We start from the raw sequence: 21,440 nt of genomic DNA on the forward strand, positions 1-21,440 counted from the left end.
TGCATGGTTTTCAACTTTCTTGTTTTGGGGTTAAGATTTGGCTTTCAGGAGTCTCCTCAGTCCGTTACTATTCATTCAATCAGCAAGTCCTTGAGCACCTGATTTGTGCCAGACATTCTTCTAGGTGTTAGGGATACCTCAGTGAACAAAACAGACAAAAATCTTTGTCTTGGAAATACACACACTCCAGTCAGGGGAGAGGGACAATAAGCCAAAGGAAGGAAATTACAGCGTGTGCTAGAAGGTGATAAGTGCTGTAGAAAGTAAGTAAAGTGGGTTTGGGAGTTGAGAGTTTGGGAAGGGGATAAATGATGGCAATTGTAAATAGAGTAGTCAGAGTTCTCACTTAGAAGGTGAAATTCAAGTAAAGACTTGAAGGAGGACAGGGAATTAGCCACATGGATGGCTAGGGGAAGGCTTCCAAGCTGAGAGGACAGCCAGAGCCAAGGCCCAGAGGCAGGAGCATACCTGGTAGTTTTAGGAAACAGGAGGCCAGGATGCTGAGTGGAGTAAGAGGGGGCATGAAAGGAGAAACTTGGGTCCACGTGGTTCTAGACAGGTATTTTTGTCTGTTTTGGGCCCTGAAGGTTACTATTGGACTTGGACTCTTACTCTGAGGAAATAGGGACGCTATTGGGACGTTTGTACAGGAGCAATGTGACCTGAGTTTTGTTTGTAAAGGATTAGACTCTGGCTGTGGCATTAAGGCTAGGCTGTGGGGGCAGGAACAGAAGCAGGGGGACCAGTTTTGCAGCCTGTGCAGCTTTCCAGATAAGCAGGGATTGTGGCTTGGAGGAGGATGGTATAGAGGAGGTGACAAGAAATGACTCTATGTCTGGTATGTAGATATTGGCCACAGATGGCATTTGAGCACTAGAGACCTGGCTGGTCCACATGGAGTTTCCATAAGCACATAATACACATCAGATTTCAAAGACTTAATATGAAAGAAAGAATGAAACGTACCTTGCTATTTCTTTCTTTTTTTTTTTTTTTTGAGACCCAGTCTTGCTCTGTCACCCAGGCTGGAGTGCAGTGGTGTGATCTCGGCTCACTGCAACCTCCGCCTCCCAGGTTCAAGTGATTCTCCTGCCTCAGCCTCCTGAGTACCTGGGACTACAGGCACCTGCCACCACGCCTGGCTAATTTTTTGTATTTTTAGTAGTGATGGGGTTTCACCATGTTGTCCAGGCTGGTCTGGAACTCCGGACCTTAGGGGATCTACCCGCCTTGGCCTCCCAAATTGCTGGGATTACAGGCATGAGCCACCATGCTCAGCCATATCTTGCTATTTTCTACATGGATTACATGTTGAAATGGTAATGTTTTGGCTATTGTGGATTAAATAGAATATATGATTAAAGTTGATTTCATCTATTTCTTTTAACTTTAAAAAATATGTCTGTTAGAGGATTTGAAATTCCACATGCGGCTTGCATTTGTGACCTGCATTTCATTTCTGTGGAACAGTGCCCTTTTTGGGACATGCTTTGAAGGTGGAGTCAACAGGATTTGGCAGATTACAGACGAGAGGCTTCAAGGGTGACTCCAAGACTTCGGGGCAGAGCACCTGGAAGAAAGGGGTTAATATTAGCCAAGATGAGGAAGGCTGTCGGTTTGGCAGGTGCATGGGCAGGTTAGGAGTTTAGTTTTGAATATGTTGGAGGTGTTTATGAAACTTTTAAGTGGAGATGGAAAATAGGCAGTTGGATGTGCAAGTCCAGGGTTCAGGGAGACAGTTCAGGCTGGAGATGAAGATGTGGGAGTCTGAGGAGAGATTGTATTCAAATATTCAATCCATGAGACTTGATGAAATCACTTCTCTTCCAAATGATTTACAGCCTGCAGAATCATTTTCCCTATCTTTGTAGGTTTATGTCTTCATTTTGTTTCATTTATTTTTCAGTTATTCACTGTTTTAGTGAGTTTTGAGTAGGAGCCAGATTGGATGCATGCGTTCAATTCACCATCCAACACTGTATTAACTACTTGAAACTCATGTGGTTGTTCGGTTGTTTTTTTGACCTTTTATTCTGGATGGAAGAGAGATGCTTATGAAGTTGCAGTAATCAGTAAGCCTTCCCACATTGCTCCATCAGCCTTCCTGGAAGAATAATGTCTTCTGCCTTTCCTGTAGGCAAGAAGGCTGCTTGATCTTGCCACGGTGAAAGCGAATGGATTGGCTGCCTTCCTTCTACAACATGTTCAGGAATTACCAGTCCCATTGGCCCTGCCTTTGGAAGGTAGGTGTATGTTCTCAGTTAATCAGAAAGGGAAGGGCAGTCAGTGCAGATCCATGGTTAAGAGCAGAACACACCTCGGTTAACATCCCATATGCTGGCAGTATAGCCTCCCTATGACTCAATTTCCTTGTTTTAAGGCTAGCACCACCCCGTCTCATTGGGATTTTGGGAGCATTAAAAGGACAAAAGCGTGTAATGTTAGCTATTAGCTTTCATTATCTCCCACACAGTATACTGACAATTGGGCTACCATATATTGAGGGCTAACTAAAGGTGTTACTTACCATCCAAACTCTCATTATCTGTACCGAAAAGATATGGACACATGTTTTGAGTTAGGGCTGGTATCTCTTGATCTCTGAAATTTAGCAGCTCACAATGGGAAACTCAAGAACCAAGTGGATCTAGAGACTCTGGTATCCCTCAGTGCCCAGGGTCACCACCCAAACTCAGGAACAGGAGGGGCTTGGACCGCACCACTTGAACATACCAGGCATCCTGCCAGGTGCTTTATGGACAATGTCTACCCTTTGCAACAACCCTGAGAAGTAGGTGGTGTTTTTTTCCACCTTATAGATGTGGAAACTGGGCAGGGAGGTTAAGTGACGAGGGAGGGGAAGATGGGTCTGATTGTAAATTGTCCCCACCTACACTTTCTCTTTTCTTGGGAGAAGAAATGTCAGTTGTAAAGAGAGAGTGCAAGCCTGGCACTCTTTAGGGCTTGTTCCTACACCACTGTAGGGAAAGCTCATTGGCACTGAAGCCCCCTGAGCTGTGTGTGGTGCTGGCAGATGGGTCTATCACCCTGGGCTGTGTCCTCTGGGCAGCAAGCAAGCCTGTGGGCGGGGTGGCTGGAAGTCTGTGCCTGGCACTCGCGAGTGCACCGTCTCATTGAAGAACAGGATCTAAACATCAGTGCGCCACAGCAGGGTGCGCGGCACGGAGTGCAGGCCCTGGTTTGGCCCTTGGTTGAGGTTTGCTGTTGACATCATCAAGCACAGCTAGTCACTGTAAGACCAGGCCAGGGTGCAAGATTCCCCACACTTCTAAAGGTGACAATTGGTGTGTTTATTTCTCTATAAAATGACATTTTTTTTTTCTGGAGAATTTTAGTATCATTGGTGATGACTGGAAAACCTGCATCAGAAATCAGGTCGGAAGAGGAAGATATATATCTGATATGTACTGGAGAGGAAGATATCTATCTTATGGTCTAAGTTCAGGGATCCTGGTATATTCAGAGGGCAGAAAGCTCAGCAATAATCATCAACTCTGGGAACAGAGGTGACATAAACACAGGGCGTCCCCTTTGTGTGACTGCAGATAGTCATCAGTGAGCTCAGAGCTCTATGAAAATTACTTGCTAGTTTTTGGGTTGAAAATAGTGGGCCAGTGTTTGGTTGGGGGCAGTGAGGCTGTGATGGCGGGGGACCATGCCAAGCTCCTACCAGCCTGGGACGCTAAACCAGCACTTCCCCATTTCCTGAAAGGGGAACTAAACTCTGACACAGGAAATGGTTTGCTTGCATTACTTTCAGGATGAGAAAGGAAGAGCACTGGCCTTCCAAACACACCCCGTGCATGAAAACTCTCCCTGCATGGGGTGCATGGGGAGGATGGGGAAGTGGAGGCAGGATCACAGACTCTTGTTCGAGTGCTCAGCTGGGGCACCCCGGTGACCCCGAGGCCTTCCCTTGCTAGGTCCACCCAGATCAATCAGGATCATCTCCCCATCTCGAAGTTTAACTTTATCACATCTCAGAGTTCCTTTTGCCACGTAAGGTAACATATTCACAGGTTCTGAGAATCCGGACATGGACATCTTTGAGGGTCTATTGTTGTGCCTACTATATCCATGAATAATAATGATAATAAGCACCATTTTTTGAGAGTTTGCCATGTCAGATATTCTTTTAAACTGTATTTTATCTCGCTGCCTCCTGAAAAAATCCTTCCAGGTGTATATTGTCCCCATTTTTACAGATGAGAGAACTGAGGCCCAGAAAGGCTAAATGGCTTGCCCAAGTGTATGGTGGACCCAGGTTTTCAAACTCAGGTGTGTCTGGCTTCAGAGACTGGGCTCCTGAGCCCTTAAGCCCTTTGTTCCCCTTTAGAAAAAGTCACCTGAGGCTGAGTGGTGAAGGGATTTATCCAAAGCCACCCGGCCACTATGGCAGGACAGATATCAGAATACAGGTCTTCCGATCCCAGCCCAGAGCCCCTTCCCGTCATCTAGAACTCCTCCTGGTGTCAGTAATGATAACGGCAGTCACTGATGTCTTTTGAGCACTTACTTTGTGTTGAGCACTTACACTGTGCTAAGCACTTGACATAGGTCATCTTAGTTGATCCGTGTAAAACTCTGTGAGGTAGTGACCAACATTTCTCCCACCTTACAGAGGTGGAAACTGAGGGTTAGGAAGTTTCCTTGACTGTCCTCAAAGTGCACAGCTTGTGAATGGAGGAGCCAGGATGGGCGCCCGCTGGCTCTCCTATCCCTTCAGTTATGTCAGCGTCCCCCGCAGCAGCCCATTGTCTGGTTAGGTCCCGTCTTCACCATGGTGCCACCTTCATCTGCCTCTTCTTCTGCCTTCCAGCTGCCACATGCAAGAAGTATATGGCCAAGCTGAGGACCACGGTGTCTGCTCAGTCTCGCTTCCTCAGTACCTATGATGGAGCAGAGACGCTCTGCCTGGAGGACATATACACAGAGAATGTCCTGGAGGTCTGGGCAGATGTGGGCATGGCTGGACCCCCGCAGAAGAGCCCAGCCACCCTGGGCCTGGAGGAGCTCTTCAGCACCCCTGGCCACCTCAATGACGATGCGGACACTGTGCTGGTGGTGGGTGAGGCGGGCAGTGGCAAGAGCACGCTCCTGCAGCGGCTGCACTTGCTGTGGGCTGCAGGGCAAGACTTCCAGGAATTTCTCTTTGTCTTCCCATTCAGCTGCCGGCAGCTGCAGTGCATGGCCAAACCACTCTCTGTGCGGACTCTACTCTTTGAGCACTGCTGTTGGCCTGATGTTGGTCAAGAAGACATCTTCCAGTTACTCCTTGACCACCCTGACCGTGTCCTGTTAACCTTTGATGGCTTTGACGAGTTCAAGTTCAGGTTCACGGATCGTGAACGCCACTGCTCCCCGACCGACCCCACCTCTGTCCAGACCCTGCTCTTCAACCTTCTGCAGGGCAACCTGCTGAAGAATGCCCGCAAGGTGGTGACCAGCCGTCCGGCCGCTGTGTCGGCGTTCCTCAGGAAGTACATCCGCACCGAGTTCAACCTCAAGGGCTTCTCTGAACAGGGCATCGAGCTGTACCTGAGGAAGCGCCATCATGAGCCCGGGGTGGCGGACCGCCTCATCCGCCTGCTCCAAGAGACCTCAGCCCTGCACGGTTTGTGCCACCTGCCTGTCTTCTCATGGATGGTGTCCAAATGCCACCAGGAACTGTTGCTGCAGGAGGGGGGGTCCCCAAAGACCACTACAGATATGTACCTGCTGATTCTGCAGCATTTTCTGCTGCATGCCACCCCCCCAGACTCAGCTTCCCAAGGTCTGGGACCCAGTCTTCTTCGGGGCCGCCTCCCCACCCTCCTGCACCTGGGCAGACTGGCTCTGTGGGGCCTGGGCATGTGCTGCTACGTGTTCTCAGCCCAGCAGCTCCAGGCAGCACAGGTCAGCCCTGATGACATTTCTCTTGGCTTCCTGGTGCGTGCCAAAGGTGTCGTGCCAGGGAGTACGGCGCCCCTGGAATTCCTTCACATCACTTTCCAGTGCTTCTTTGCCGCGTTCTACCTGGCACTCAGTGCTGATGTGCCACCAGCTTTGCTCAGACACCTCTTCAATTGTGGCAGGCCAGGCAACTCACCAATGGCCAGGCTCCTGCCCACGATGTGCATCCAGGCCTCGGAGGGAAAGGACAGCAGCGTGGCAGCTTTGCTGCAGAAGGCCGAGCCGCACAACCTTCAGATCACAGCAGCCTTCCTGGCAGGGCTGTTGTCCCGGGAGCACTGGGGCCTGCTGGCTGAGTGCCAGACATCTGAGAAGGCCCTGCTCCGGCGCCAGGCCTGTGCCCGCTGGTGTCTGGCCCGCAGCCTCCGCAAGCACTTCCACTCCATCCCGCCAGCTGCACCGGGTGAGGCCAAGAGCGTGCATGCCATGCCCGGGTTCATCTGGCTCATCCGGAGCCTGTACGAGATGCAGGAGGAGCGGCTGGCTCGGAAGGCTGCACGTGGCCTGAATGTTGGGCACCTCAAGTTGACATTTTGCAGTGTGGGCCCCACTGAGTGTGCTGCCCTGGCCTTTGTGCTGCAGCACCTCCGGCGGCCCGTGGCCCTGCAGCTGGACTACAACTCTGTGGGTGACATTGGCGTGGAGCAGCTGCTGCCTTGCCTTGGTGTCTGCAAGGCTCTGTAGTGAGTGTTACTGGGCATTGCTGTTCAGGTATGGGGGAGCACCATCAAGGCTAAGTGTGGGAGCACCGAGCTGGGCTCTAGAAGTCTGGGCCCAGCTTCGCCTCTGCCACCCTGCTTTGCAACACTGCCCAGATCCCTTCCCTTCTGGGCCTTAATTTCAATATGTGATGATGACAGCCACACTTTATTGACTGGCCTATGTGCTGGGTCTGGTGCTATGCTTTCCGGAATGACCTCATCTAATCTCTACAACCACCCTGGCGGGTAGGCAGGAATGTTATTATCTCCATTATCCTTGACTTGAGGCTCAGAGAAGTGAAGTAACTTGTCCAGGAAATGGCAGAGCTGGGGTTCACAAATTGCATCATTCTGATTACAGGTTTTCTGCCTCCCACCAGTCTATGGATACACTTCAGAGGCTCCCTGAAAACCTTGAGGTCACTTGCAGAAAGTTTTGTGTAGTATGTGTCCGTATCAGGAACAACACCAAATCAGAGGTGACTTGTGCCCCATCAGAGACTTTAACACCCCAACCAGATGGGAATTTCAGGACCCAAGAAATAGAAAGTGGCTGCAGGGTTACAACTACTGTTGGATTCCTGAGGTAGCACAGTGTCCAAACAGGATTTCAGCACTACCCGTATTGCTTAGAGCCCCAGCCAAAGATGTGAGGTTTTGCCCTTTGGAGAATCTGTGCCCCTGAACTCGGGGGCCTCTTTCCACATCTTGGGGGCAGGCAAGGGCAGAGGGTGTGCCTAGGCCTGCGGATCAGCATGCGACAGATTCCCCAACATCCTTCCAGCTTGAAAGGGGATTGCCCTGCTTCTATTTAGAACCTATAGGAAAGCAGAAGTTCTAGATTGAAGTTAAAATTGATTCCCAGCCTCCAGGGGCTTTGGGCTACACCTGGATGACCTTAATTGACCCTAAGCATGGGACAAACCACTTCCTGAGAGTATTAGGATGGTATACATCTTCTCTGGGGGCAAAGCAACAAGATTTATTTTTCATCATGGACCAAACACATGGATACCCACTAGAAACTGTGTAGTGAATTTTGTTAACCCTGACATAGGGACCATGGTCTTTAGGTTAAAGCATAATAACAACATAATACATAACATATATAGCGAATATATATATGTATTATATGCAATGAATGTAAATATGATTATACCCATCATGGTCTTGGAGGAAACAGATGACACACTTAAAATGGGTGTTTTGAGGAGAGTTTGAAAAACAGATTGTTTACAAGCCATGGGCAGGAGTTAGGAAGAGTGAGAGGGTTGGTGCAGGGGCCTGGGGTTAGTAACAGCTGGGGGAGGGTAGACTTGAAGGGGGAAGGGGAGGGAGACTAATTAGCTGGGGGGAAGGTATGGAGACGGCTGCCTGAGCTTCTGCAAAGTGGAAGAATACCGCTTGGCCCTAACTCCTCACCCCAACTCTTGCTCCTGGCCAGCGCCTTCCACCAGCTGGACCCATCAGGGAGGCCGAGTGGGCTGTCTGCTGGAGTAGTCCCCAGGCATCAGCCTCCCAGGAGCCAGGGACGGGTAGAGAAGGGGGAGAGTGGATCTGGCCAGGCAAATGGAAAACAGCCAGCACCAAACTCTATTTCCCTAGGAGGGAGGATCATGATACTTTGAGTGGGAATTTGGAAACCTGTCTGTTGGAGCAATTTCCCTGATAGAAATAAGAATGTGCATTTTCCTGGGTAGTAGACTCAGTTTTTACCCCAAGAGGCCAGGCATCACTGGCCTGTGTGATCCTCATAGGCCAGTCCATCTCTGGAATTCTTGAATGGATCATCCATCCTTGATTAGGGATGTCCCCGTGATTACCAGGGTGTGCAGAAGGGCTCTGGGAAACCTGTGGGTCTGTCTCTGTGTTCAGAGAAAGGTGAGGGTGGCCTGGTTCTAGCTCATGGTGCTCAGACTGTGGTGTGTAAAGGCACTCGTGGCAATGCAGATTCCTGGGCCTGCCTCTAGTGATTCCCATTCAGTAGGTTTGGGGTGGGGCCCAGGAAATCTATATTTTTCACAGACACCCCTGGTGATTCTGATACAAGTGGTCTCGCCCTGGGAGAACTACTGGTCTGCAGCAACCAGCTTGGTTTTCCATTAGCAATTACTGTCCTTGAGCGAGTTTTACTGCTCTTCACCTTACACACACTAAAACTGCCAAGGCCGTAGGGGAGGGGAAGCAACCATGAGGTTGCTGTGAGTGCACTGTGTGTGTGTGTGTGTGTGTGTGTGTGTGTGTGTGTGTGTATGAGAGAGAGAGAGAGATTGAGAAAGAGAGGAAGGGAGGAAGGGGGAGGGCACAGGCTCCTCTCCCACAGTGCCAACCTGCCTCTCTCCCACTTGAAGTGTTTCCATGCCAACTGAAATCCTCAGCCTCTAGGAAACCCTATATACACAGTGCCCCTATATAGGTTTCTTTAGACTCTGGCTCTCTCAGACTCTAGAGTGATGGCTTTAAAAGTTTTTTGAATGTTACCCACAATGATTGAGAAAGAGAGAGAGAGAGCACGCACCACCATGTAAACATGGAACCTAAGTTTCACAAAATGACTTCGCTTTATGAACTCTGAGACACTCTGCTCTCTTCTGTTCTGTTCTATTTCCATTTTAGAAATGCTGCTCAGGACCTTCAAAATGATTTGCATGACCTGCAACCTGCAGTCTGAAAAATCACTGCACTACAGAAGTGGCCATAAGAGGCCCTGAGGGAGAAGCTGCACAATGTCATGGTTAAGAGTGGGGTTTGGAGCCAAGCCGCCTAGGCTCAAAGCCTTTATGTGCCGTACAACCTTGGCAAAGTCACTTCGCTTGTCTGTGCCTCAGTTTCTTTCTCACGAATGCTCATAATAATGGTTCCCATTTCACTGGCTTGTTGTGAGGATGAAATAGTGTTATTATTGAGAAGTGGTAAGGGTAGTGATCAGTGCTAGCGATCATGATTCTAGGTGACTTTTACTGTGTACCGGGTGCTCACAAGGCTTTATGTGCACAGCCTGGTGAGGCTGATAATACTATTGTTCCCTCTTTTTTTTTTTTTGAGACGGAGTCTCGTTCTGTTGCCCAGGCAGGGGGTACAGTGGCACAATCTCGGCTCATGCAAGCTCTGCCTCCCGGGTTCACGCCATTCTCCTGCCTCAGCCTCCCAAGTAGCTGGGACTACAGGCGCCTGCCACCACGCCCGGCTAATTTTTTTGTATTTTTGGTAGCGACAGGGTTTCACTGTGTTAACCAGGATGGTCTCGATCTCCTGACCTCGTGATCCGCCCGCCTCGGCCTCCCAAAGTGCTGGGATTACAGGCGTGAGCCACCGTGCCCGGCCTGTTCCCTCTTTTATAGATGAAGAGACCAGCAAATAACTAGTAAGTCGCTGATCAGGATCACAATATCCAGCTGAGGCACTCCAGAGCCTGAGCTGTTAACCATTCAGTCAGGGCCTCCCAAGTTTGCCTAAAGATAAAGAATCATGTGCACAGTTGTTAAAATATACAGATTCCTGGGCCCCACCCCGCAGATACTTGATTGCCAGCTCCAGGGTATGGGCCTGAGAATCTGTCTTTTAGGGAAGCTTTCAGATGATGTTGTGATCAGGTGAGTTTTGGGAATGGTGCCCCAAGAGGAGTGGCAGACAGGGCTTGCTCGGCAGGGACTAGCCTGTTGGAGTGGTGCCATTGGGGTTAAGGACTGGGCAGCAGGGCCTCACTAACCACAGCCTATATGCCTGTTTCTGAAGTTTTGGCCACTCTCATCCAGCTGGTCTACTGTCTGCTGACCTAGATGATGGTAAATTGTCCCCAGGGGTAGCCTGTCTAGTTCAGGCTGCACCTTTCGCATATATCAGCTCCTTTCCACCATCATCCCCTTTGTGAGGCTGCTGTGATTATCATGTTCCTTTTGCAGAGATGGAAACATTGCCTCAAATTAGCTCTGTCATTTCCTAAGGATTCCAGGGTTCTTTAGTAGGGGGTCTGGATCCTACGTCCTGGGCCATCCCCATCATAGTGCACCACGTCACCTCCCTGGCCAGGGACCGTGGGGTCTCCACTTTTTTGGGGTGCTCCATCTATGCAGGGTTTCCTGGAAGCACAGATGCTGGCACTTCAGGGATGAATGAAAGTCTTTTTGGGGGATTTGTAGATTTTTTTCTTGTCTTACTAGCTCCATTTTCAAATGTATTTATTTTGTCTCTTTAGTTTGCGCGATAACAATATCTCAGACCGAGGCATCTGCAAGCTCATTGAATGTGCTCTTCACTGCGAGCAATTGCAGAAGTTAGCGTAAGTCAGCCTGGGCTGTGGACAATGGGCTCCAAGTGCCCTGGTCTCACCCCAGGTCGTGCAGCCTGGGAAGCTGTGAGTGATGGGCTGGGGCAGGGGCTGTTTGCATGATGGGGGGTGCAGGTGATTCCTGCCCAGAGGGGAAGGGCAACCCTGGGATTTGGTGCTCACTGTCCAATGTGCTTTGCTTCTGTGTCTCCTCTCTTCTGGAACTGAACAGTCTATTCAACAACAAATTGACTGACGGCTGTGCACACTCCATGGCTAAGCTCCTTGCATGCAGGCAGAACTTCTTGGCATTGAGGTGAGCCCAGGTTTTCCTTATTCCCTGGAAACTATTTTTTGCCCCATTCCTGAGTCAGTCTGATCTGGTCTTGGCCTGGCACTGCCCACACTGGCTCCTGACCTCCTGATTGAATGCAGGGACAGTGTCTCATTTTAAGCAGGGGTTCTCTAATGCTGTGATCTCCCCAGTAAACTCTGGACTAGCTCTGCTGAGGACTTCCTGTCTTTTGACCTTTAGCCCGTAGGGCAAGAAAGCTTTTCTAGGCCCCTTTCCTTTTCTGTGTCTAAGAGTGTCACAGCTTTCTGGGTTTACTGAGTTCCACGATGCATGTTGAGCTCGTCCTGGTGGGGGAGGCATACACAGTTACTTGCCACCCCAGCTGTGGCAGCGAGTTGCTGCAACACTCCCAGGAGGTCCTTTCACCACTCAGAGCATGCAAGGTTTGCAGTCCATCTGGTTCTGCATTTCTGCTACTCCAGTGTCTCCCAGTTTCAACAGGAGTCTCTCTCTCTCCTACCTGATGCCTTTAAATTGCCCCTCTAGCTGGCCGCTGGGTTGGCCTGGCTTCTCTCTCCTTCTCTCTCTCTCAGATATTCTTGCCTCCTGTGATTTGTGAGGCAGTAAAAAAAGACAAAGTAAAGAATTGCTTCCATCTATTCTTTTACCTCTTGGGCTGGGTTTGTGGATGGGAGCCGCCATTTTAAAATGGCGGGCCACATAGCTCAGTCTCGGCAAGGGCTACTGAGATCAGAACCACAGGTGCCAATTTGTACAAAGGACTCAGTCCTGCTACCACTGCCTGATCCCTCAGACTCACAAGCCTGGAATAGGCTGTGGCCAGACCTGGCTGGCCCATCCCTGAGAAGGGTGCTAGTTTCAGAAATGGAGGCTGAGTTTGTGGCCAACACAGTAGTCCTCCGGTATGTGCAGGAGAGATGTTCTAAGACCCCAGTGGATGCCTGAAACCATGGAGAGTATCAAGCCCTACACATACCATGCTTTTCCCAATACCTACACACCTGCAATAAAGTGTAGTTTATAAATTAGGCACAGTAAGAGAGTAATAGCAACTCATAATAAAATAGAACAATTATAACAATCAATGTACTATAATAACACTATGTGAATGTGGACTCTCTCCATCTCCCTCAAAATATCTTCTTGTACTGTACTCACCCTTCTTCTTGGGAAGATGTGTGGTGGTAAAATGCCTGTGTGATGGGAGGAAGTGAGGTGGATGACGCATGCAGCACTGTGCTCTAGCGCTGGGCTGCTGTTGACCTGACCACACTTCAGGAGGAGAATCATCTGCTCCCAGAGATCCCTAATCTTTGAGCAACAATGAGGTCGGCAGCTGGATGTCAGGAGCAGACGATCTTGATGATTACCAAATGGGAGCGTATAGAGCGTGGATGCGCTGGACGGGGGGCTGATTCACGTCCTGGGTGGGATGGAGCTGGATGGCACGTGATCAGAATAGCATGCAATTTAAAATGTATGAATTGTTTATCTCTAGAATTTTCCATTTAATATTTTTGGACTGCAGTTGATTTCAGATAACTGAAACCATAGAAGGCGAAGCTGCGGATAAGCAGGGGGCAGGGATTACCGTATATCATTGTAATAGAGAGCACAGGCTCTGGAGCCAGACTGCCCGAGGTTTGAACCCTCATTAGCTGCGTGACCTCAGGTCAGCCCAATGTCTGTGTGCCTCCGTTTCCCCTTCTGTAGAATGGAGGTAATAACCCTGGCTACCTCACAGGCTGTAGTGATGAGCAAGCAAGTTAATCCACATGAAGGGCTGCACCGTCTGGCAGGGGCTTTATATAGTAAGCGAGTGGCTGAAAGATGATGGGTAAATCACACAAGCACTCAGCTTGTTTCTCCTTATGTGAGTCCGGTCCTCCAAGCAGGGATTCAATGTGCCACCCATTTATTGGGGAAAAGTCCTAAAAGGGGAAGTGGGGAAGGGAGCTGGGGGAGGCTGGGAGGTGTGTCCCTGAGTGAAGGAGAGAGGGAAGGAAGGAAGGTTGAGACTGGGCACCTTGGACTTCAGTGCAGTCCTAAGACATCTTGGCAAGGCTGATGAGGAGTTCTTGAACCAAATTCACCAGGCAGGGGAGCCTGATGTCTCAGGCAGGGGCTGGCAAGTGCAGATGCGAGGATGTTAGATTTTGGAGCACAGCAGCTGGGGCCCTTGGCTACCTCCAAGGAGCTGAGGCTGGAGACCTGAAAGGCGAGTTCTCCTAGCTGCCACACCCCTTCTCCAAGGATACAATAATATCTGCCTTATAGGATTGTTGTGAGCTGAGTGGCTTGACGTTCCTTGAAAGAATGAAAGCGTATAGTTATCCCAGGAAGCCTAGGGTTGCAGGTGAGAGCTCTGGGGCTTCTCCGAAGCTCTCCGAGGTGTCTGGATTCAGTTGCAGCAGGAGCCTTCCTTGCTGGGATCTTCCCCCACCCCTAGCCTTGGCCCTCCCTCTCTCCTTCCTTTCTGGAAGGCTCAGTGGGCCCCACCCCTCCCTCCAGCCACCTGGACCTGCCCAGCGCTCTTGTGCAACAGGTAAAGCCTACCTGTAGCAACAACAGATCTGGGAAGGCTGCAGAGGGCACGATGGGGTCTGGATCGAGGGCGGCTGAGACCAGAGGGAAAGGTGTGACCCTGAGTCACCCTCGCTGTCCCGGGGAAACCACCTCCCAGGACAGCTGCCTACTGTGGCTCCTGCCTGGAATTGTCACACTGCTGTGCAAACAGCGTCCCGCTGCCCCTTTCCCTTTGCTGGGGGAAAATGAAGTTGTGGGAGCCGCTGAGTAAACTAGACCTAGCAGCGAGGGCACCTGATGTGGCTGCTGCCTCCCGGGCAGGTCTTCAATGCTTTCTTCCTGTGTTTCCCTGGCCAGGGCACAGACGGCCCTCCTTTTCTGCCTGCCGCTGTGTTCTCTCAGCCTCCTCTGTCTTCCCTTCCAGGCTGGGGAATAACTACATCACTGCCGCGGGAGCCCAAGTGCTGGCCGAGGGGCTCCGAGGCAACACCTCCTTGCAGTTCCTGGGGTAGGTTGGATTCCAGGAAGAGGGACCTGCATGGAGGGGCTTGGGACTTTTGAGGATTTAGGGGCAGGTGAAACTCTTCAGCCAGGAGGCCCCAGAGGCAGCCCAGCTCCAGTGGGGAGGACAAGCCAGGGAGAGAGTGGGCGGCCCTTGACTGCCACCTTCATACTTGGTCTATGCCTGACAAACAGGAAGTTTGGGATGTTGGGGCTAGGGGAGGACAGTGCCCACGAGCTGGTGACAGGAAGCCCTCTGATCCTCAGGGGGCGCTAGGGCTGTACTTTAGCTGCATATTAAAACCACCTGGAAGCTTCTAAACACTATTGCCAGGCCTCCCACCCCAGACTGATGAAATGCAAATATCTAGGTGCAAGGCCCAGGTATCAGGAGTTTTAAAAAGCTTCCCAGGGGATGTACAGCCAGGGGTGAGGACCCCTGACCTAAGAAAGAGAAGGAAATGGGGAAGGATAGGAAGGCACCCAGGATAAGAGGGGCTGTGCTAGGTCCCTCGGAGCTCTTGCTCCCTGTAGGACCATGCTAGGGCCTGCCAGGGAGGGGAGTACCCCAACCTGCAGCCCCAGGGTGGGCTTCCTCTGTTTGCTAGGCACCCAGGCTTGCACCTGTGCTGTTTCCAGCAGCCTCTCTCCTATCCTGTCATGCCCTAGTGTGAACTGGAGTCCATTTGACAAGAACTGGGAGTTTTAGAACCTGGGACTGTAGGAAGAGAGAATAACCTTAGGGCCTAGGTGTTCCAGCCCATTTCACAGGGAGGCAAGTTGCCCCCAAGCTCAGTTTTTTGTTTTGTTTTGTTTTGTTTGAGATGTAGTCTCACTCTGTTGCCCAGGCTAGAGTGCAGTGGCACGATCTTGGCTCACTGCAACCTCCGCCTCCTTGGTTCAAGCGATTCACCTGCCTCAGCTTCTCAAGTAGCTGGGATTATAGGCACCCACCACCACGCCCAGCTAATTTTTGTATTTTTAGTAGAGACAGGGTTTCACCATGTTGGCCCGGCTGGTCTTGAACTCCTGATCTCAGATGATCCGCCCGCCTCGGCCTCCCAAAGTGCTGGGATTACAGGTGTGAGCCACCGCACCCGGCCCCCAAGCTCAGTTTGAGCCACAAATGGGACTATGTTGCTCTAGAAATCAACATCTTTTCCACACTGCATTAGTAGCAACAGAGTCTAGAACAAAGGAGGCCACAGCCCCACTGAACTCTCTTCTGCTTGAGGTCACATCTGCCACATCAGGGGTATTTACCTCTTTCAACACATATTTATTAGGGCACCTGTCTGGGCCAGGCGTTGTGCTAAAACCCCCAAACGCTGTCATATGATACAAAGTGTTCTGTAACTTGCTTGGTTTTTTTTTTTGTTTGTTTGTTTGTTTTGTTTTGTTTTTGTTGTTGTTTTTTTTTGCTTCGCCATATATTATAGGAATTTTTTTAGGTCATTATGACCTCTTTATTTACTTAATTATCTATTTATTTATTTTACTAATATTTACAGAAAGGGTCTCACTCTGTCACCCAGGCTGGAGTGCAGTGGTTGCAATCATAGCTCATTGTAGCCTTGAACTCCTGAGCTCAAGTGATCTTCCTACCTCGGCCTCCTGAGTAGCTGGGACTACAGGCACAAGCCACCATGCCTGGCCGATATTTTTATGTTTTGTAGAGACGGGGTCTCACTATGTTGCCCAGGCTGGTCTCAAACTCCTGGGCTCAGGTGATCCTCCCTCCTTTGCCTCCCAAAGTATTGGGATTACACAAGTGAGCCACCTTGCTCAGCCTGACCTCATTTTTCAAAGAGCTGCAGAGTGTTACATAATGTATTTAACTGGTCACTTTTTGATGACTATTAAGTTGTTTTCAGGTTTTTTGTTATTACAGTGTCATATCCCTGGGGCACAGAGCAGTGCTGGCACATAGCCAGAGCTCAATCGATACATACCTAATGAATGAAAGTACAGTGGACATCCTAATTCAGCCATTCTTTGCTAACTTGTGTACATACCTGTCCAGGGTAGGTCCCTAGAATACAGTCAATAAGTCAGAAGGTGTGAGTTGGGATCTACCTTTTGGAAAGGGATGTTTTCAAACTACAGTGAGTCAGAGGAGGATGGCCCAGAAGCTGGGGGAGTTGAAGCTGATGGCGTGAAGGAATTAGGGGTGTTAGGAAGAAGCAGGAGATAAAGAGCTAGCTTGCAGAAGAAGTGTTAGACTTGTTATGGGCAGGTACTGGAGGGTAGCTAAGGACTTGTGGGTGGCAGTTACCAGGAAGCGTATCTGAACTAAGTGTCAGAAAAAGTGTCACAACTGTAAATTACTCTTGTCAGTGAGTTCCTGTCCTTAAGGGTTAGGGCTGGGTAGCCCTCTACTATTCTCTAAGTCTGTAATGTAAAGCCACTGAAAACTCTTGGGTTAAGTTTGGCCATCCCACCCAAAAGATGGAGGCAGGTCCACTTTGCTGGGACCAGGAGCCCCAGTGAGGCCACTCTGGGATTGAGTGGTCCTGCCCCTCTGGCTGGGACTGCAGAGGGAGGAGGACTGTTAGTTCATGTCTAGAACACATATCAGGTACTCACTGACACTGTCTGTTGACTCTTTTGGCCTTTTCAGATTCTGGGGCAACAGAGTGGGTGACGAGGGGGCCCAGGCCCTGGCTGAAGCCTTGGGTGATCACCAGAGCTTGAGGTGGCTCAGGTAAGCTTCAGAGTCTATCCTGCAGTTTTCTTGGGGAGATCAGGTGAAGAGGGAGGAGCTGGGGCCAGTTCTGAAGGTCTTTGAACTTTATTTCTACCCCACAATGTTAGGCAATGGAGTAAGGAAAAAAGACCATTGGATTTCAAGAGAGGACACTCGAGTCTTTCTGGGTGACTTGGAAATGTCCCTTGTCCTCTCAGGGTTTTGATACAGTATCTGTAAATTGAAGATATTGGGCTGGATCAGGTACATTTTATCTTAAGGACCAATTCCAATCCATTGGTAGTGGGTGCCCAGTGCACCACATTAAAAAGAATTCTAAGGCTGCACCTGGGCTTAAAGAAGAGCACTATAATCAATTAGTGATGTCTAAAAAAGCTAAAAAAAAAAAAAAAAGAGCACTGCATTCAATTAGTGATGTCTAAAAAGGGTAGAAAAAAAAAAAAAAAGAAAAAAGAAAGAGCACCGCAATCAATTAGTGATGTCTGAAATGGAGCAGACCAGGAGAGCACCACGAATTTTGCCCTCCATAGGTTAGCTCATCTCTGAGGTCTTTCCCTGCTCTGACATACTTTTGTTCCATGATTACCTCCAGCCTGGTGGGGAACAACATTGGCAGTGTGGGTGCCCAAGCCTTGGCACTGATGCTGGCAAAGAACGTCATGCTAGAAGAACTCTGGTGAGTTTGGGGGATTCTCTGCTCTGGGGAAGTGGATCACAATCTCTGTTGATCCCCTGGCCTCATCCATAGGAGCGGTTGTGTGGACAGACAAAGGTGGATGATTGAGTGATTGACTGATTGATTGATTGTGTTTGTCTTTATATGTACTGAGTGGTATGAAGCTTATAGAGCCTGGTATGTACATGCTAATTTTTTTATTTAATAAAATATATGGGTTTGCTGGTTTGGTGACTGCCTCCACATGGCATAAGTGTTAAGAGCACAGACTCTGTAATCAAGCAGGCCGTGATCTTAGGCAAGTTAAATAACAATTTCAGAATCTCAAGTTTCATGTCTGTAAAATGAGGGTAAGAATACTTCCAACCATAAAGGATTTTTGCAAGAATTAGATAAAGTAGTGCCTGTGAAGACCTTAATATAGTGCCTGGCATATTTGTAAGTGCTCCATAAATGTTAAATTAGAATAATGGCAGGGTTACTACTACTATTACTGCTGCTGCTGCTGCTGCTGCTGCTACAACTACTATAGTACTGTGACTACTACTACTAATAAAGTTTTGTTATTTTAAAGTGATTTTGAGTTCCTAGGAGCACTGGGTATTCAAGTCTTAGGTCATTTTGGAAGGTGTAATGGAGTTTTGATAGTTGAAAGAGGAACCATGAATCATGCTTATACTGTTGACCTGAAGCAGATTCTAAGTTTCTCATCCTTTAGATGCCACTAGTATAGTTTTCTGACATGTTCTGGGCAGCTTCAGATTATGTCAGGGAGATAAAATACTGAATGTTTGATTTTCCCGGGAAGCAGAAAGGCACTGCAACATATGGGCATTGCCATAAACAGATTTTATGGATGGACCTTGGCTGTTGCAGGGCTTACTAGCTCTACTCAAGTATGATTGATTCTATCCTGACTGGATTTTGCCACTTGGAATTTCTTAGTAGAGGAGAACCTTGTTATGAGAGCATCAGTTATGATTACTGTTAAAAGAAAAACTTTAGGCAAATTAAATTTAGCAGAACTGGTTTGAACATACAGCAATTTATGAATTGGGCAGCATTCAGAACTGGGAGTGCTCCACCCAGCAAGGTAGGCAAGCAGTATCTATAGACAGGAAAAGGAAGTGATGTACAAAACAGCTTGATTGGTTGCAGCTGGGCATTTGCCTTATATGGGCATGGTGTGATGAGGCATTTTCTTTATATGGATATAGACTGATCAGCTGGTAGACTGTGACTGACTGAAGCCTGGCTGCTGTGATTGGCTAAGACTTAGCTGTTTGTTATAAGGATATGTTGTTAGGTTGCAGTTTGCTACATAGGAACTCAAAGTACAGAGGCAGTCTCAGGCCAAATTTAGTTTAACTATATGTTAAGCTGCAGGTGACAGAATACCTCCATCTATAGAGGTTTAAACAAGGAAAGGGTTTATTTTTTCCTGTATAGGCAGCTGGATGTAGGCAGTGTAGGGTTTGTACAGTGGCTACAAGAGGCCAGGAGGGGTCTCAGCTCTGTCTCATTCTCTTCCTGTTCCATCATTCTTAGCCTGTGACTTCATTCACATGGTTGGTTGTCTCATGATCACAGGATGGCTGCTCCAGGTGCAGCACTACTTCTGTATTCCCGGATTCGATCTATATACCCAGGAAAGCCATCTGGGTTCTCTCCTTTAAAAAGCATTCCTGGAAGCCCCACCTGTCGACTTCCCCTTATGTATCAACCATGTGTATGTCACTTGACCAACCCACTTGTATGTTGTTTGACCAGCCCTGGCTGCAATGGAGAGTGGGAAATACAGTTTTTTCACCAAGTGCATGGCTGTCCAAATGAAATGAGACTTCCATTAATAAGGAAGAAAGGAAAGATGGAGATCAGGAAGCTGGGGGATCAGGGAACTTATTACATTGAGAGCCCTTGGAGTGAATTCTCTTGCAAATATGTCCCTGGAATTGAGAATCCCCACAACGTACTTTATCTGTTCTTTCTTTATCCATGAGTTTGGGTTTTCAGATGTTGGATTTCCTATATGGGGGGCATGTGAGTTCATCATCTTCCATAATCAATGTTGTATCAACTGGATTTTCTCTCTTCTTCTCACCAGCCTGGAGGAGAACCATCTCCAGGATGAAGGTGTATGTTCTCTCGCAGAAGGACTGAAGAAAAATTCAAGTTTGAAAATCCTGAAGTAAGGAACCCATAAGCAGGAAACAGGACAATAATTGCTGGCCTTTGGAAGGGGCATTTCTGAATAAGATCTGGGCCGCTCTCCGCTGGGCTAACTCATGTGAGGTGGCCTGGTAGAACAGCTTGCCTTGGTCTAGGTGGACAAGGATTCCAGTGCAAGTTGTTTATCTGGGAGGTGGTCCCAGTAAATGCTGATAGGAGAGTGGTGAAGTGAGATGGGGAAGTGAAGGTAACCAATAAAGGGGAGTTATCAAGCCAGTTATCAATGAGGGAAATTGGAGCTCAGTACTCTGGGGCACTCCTGGAGCCAGTGCAGAACACACATGGTCACCTACCCAACCAATGGGCAAGAAAGCCATGGCATTTATCCACCAACCCTCTGTCCTTCCTATGTTGATGTGCGCTCATGGGGCACTGATTCTCCAGCACTTCCAGCTCACCCTCACCCAGCTGAACATGCTTCTGGGGTCAGGAGAATGGCCTCAGGCAGAGAGTGGAAGGTCTTCTCTGCAAGCAGTGGCTGGGGAGGTGATGTGATGGGGAGTACTGTGGCCTCCTCCAGTGGCTGACTCAGTGGCTTGGGACTTGTGCCACAAAGAGATGGACAGCTCAGGTGAACATGAACCCACCTAGTGACCATCATGGGTTTGTCAGGGTGCTCTCTGAGGCTGATGCCAAAATTCTTATTTCAAGTAGACCTCAGGAACCCCATCAGATGGCTCCTTTTGCTGGAGGAAAGTGGCATCTGCCTAGGCAAATGTGGTCCTAGGAAAACGCTTGCCTTTAGAGACAGACAGACAGACAGCTGCCTCTGTGAGTGCCAGCTTTGCTGCCAGGCTGCTACCCACTCTGGCGACACTCATTTGTGTTGCTTTCACAAGCTAGGAAGTTTCCAAATATTTGGAGAAAACACTTCCACTAATTATTTGGGTGGAAATGGGCTGGGAAGTTGGGGTGAAGCCCGGATGTGTCTGAGCCAGATGCCAGCTTTGCACTGAGGGTCGGCCTTTGGGAATACCAAGCCCATTATCAACCAGGTGTGGATATGGCAGGTTTGTCTTCCCTCCTTGTCACAGCCTTACTCCACTTGACTCCCATGGATGCCAGGCAATGAGGCTGGGGTTGGTCCCATGCCACCCTGTCATCAGCCTTATTTTTCAGCATCCTAAACTATATCATCCCCCACAAAAATTGAACTTCTGATATATCTTTTATAAAAAAGAGAAATGCCTACATCTTTCTTTTCCAGGCTTAGTTTCTGCCAAGAGTTGGTTGAGAGCCCAGGCTTGCTGGGTGCAGTGGCTCACACCTGTAATCCCAGCACTTTGGGAGGCTGAGGCGGGTGGATCACCTGAAGTGGGGAGTTCCATACCAGCCTGACCAACATGGAGAAACCCCATCTCTACTAAAAATACAAAATTAGCCGGGCGTGGTGGCATACACCTGTAATCCCATCTACTCAGGAAGCTGAGGCAGGAGAATCACTTGAACCTGGGAGGTGGAGGTTGCCATGAGCCAAGATCACACCATTGCACCCTAGACTGGACAAGAGAGAAACTTCCATCTCAAAAAAAAAAAAAAAAAGG

General features: G+C 49.1%; 1 protein-coding gene across 18 annotated transcripts in view, besides 4 other annotated features; it reads left to right on the top strand.

Moving 5' to 3' along the window:
* The window catches only part of NOD2 (nucleotide binding oligomerization domain containing 2), a 39,470-nt gene that overhangs the window by 12,112 nt on the left and 5,918 nt on the right, over positions 1 to 21,440 (top strand). For 4 of the 18 annotated variants that reach the window (NM_001370466.1, XM_017023536.2, NM_022162.3 and 1 more), the window contains 8 exons: positions 2,138 to 2,243; positions 4,841 to 6,656; positions 10,870 to 10,953; positions 11,174 to 11,257; positions 14,208 to 14,291; positions 16,905 to 16,988; positions 17,584 to 17,667; positions 19,772 to 19,855. In NM_001370466.1, the coding sequence (NP_001357395.1) occupies positions 2,138 to 2,243; positions 4,841 to 6,656; positions 10,870 to 10,953; positions 11,174 to 11,257; positions 14,208 to 14,291; positions 16,905 to 16,988; positions 17,584 to 17,667; positions 19,772 to 19,855 (2,426 nt within the window). Of the gene's footprint in view, positions 1 to 2,137; positions 2,244 to 4,226; positions 4,300 to 4,840; positions 6,921 to 7,035; positions 7,873 to 9,290; positions 9,765 to 9,891; positions 10,039 to 10,869; positions 10,954 to 11,173; positions 11,258 to 14,207; positions 14,292 to 16,904; positions 16,989 to 17,583; positions 17,668 to 19,771; positions 19,856 to 21,440 lie in introns of those variants that run through there. The other 14 variants (XM_047434453.1, XM_047434452.1, XM_047434454.1 and 11 more) reach the window with 12 other exon arrangements.
* Positions 21 to 315: a silencer, noted in NCBI's record as "tiled region #14141; K562 Repressive non-DNase unmatched - State 23:Low". NCBI's record gives its function as "represses a minimal TATA promoter and a strong SV40 promoter by Sharpr-MPRA in K562 cells {active_cell/tissue: K562}" and the evidence as "EXISTENCE:reporter gene assay evidence [ECO:0000049][PMID:27701403]".
* Positions 3,690 to 3,899: a silencer, noted in NCBI's record as "silent region_7490". NCBI's record gives its function as "represses an Ori minimal core promoter by ATAC-STARR-seq in GM12878 lymphoblastoid cells {active_cell/tissue: GM12878}" and the evidence as "EXISTENCE:reporter gene assay evidence [ECO:0000049][PMID:35858748]".
* Positions 4,308 to 4,513: a silencer, noted in NCBI's record as "fragment chr16:50743936-50744141 (GRCh37/hg19 assembly coordinates)". NCBI's record gives its function as "represses an EF-1alpha promoter that drives an FKBP-Casp9 reporter gene in an ReSE screen in HepG2 liver carcinoma cells {active_cell/tissue: HepG2}" and the evidence as "EXISTENCE:reporter gene assay evidence [ECO:0000049][PMID:32094911]".
* Positions 18,214 to 18,273: an enhancer, noted in NCBI's record as "active region_10826". NCBI's record gives its function as "activates an Ori minimal core promoter by ATAC-STARR-seq in GM12878 lymphoblastoid cells {active_cell/tissue: GM12878}" and the evidence as "EXISTENCE:reporter gene assay evidence [ECO:0000049][PMID:35858748]".

This window comes from Homo sapiens, chromosome 16 (genome assembly GCF_000001405.40).
Source record: "Homo sapiens chromosome 16, GRCh38.p14 Primary Assembly".
NCBI lineage: Eukaryota > Metazoa > Chordata > Mammalia > Primates > Hominidae > Homo > Homo sapiens.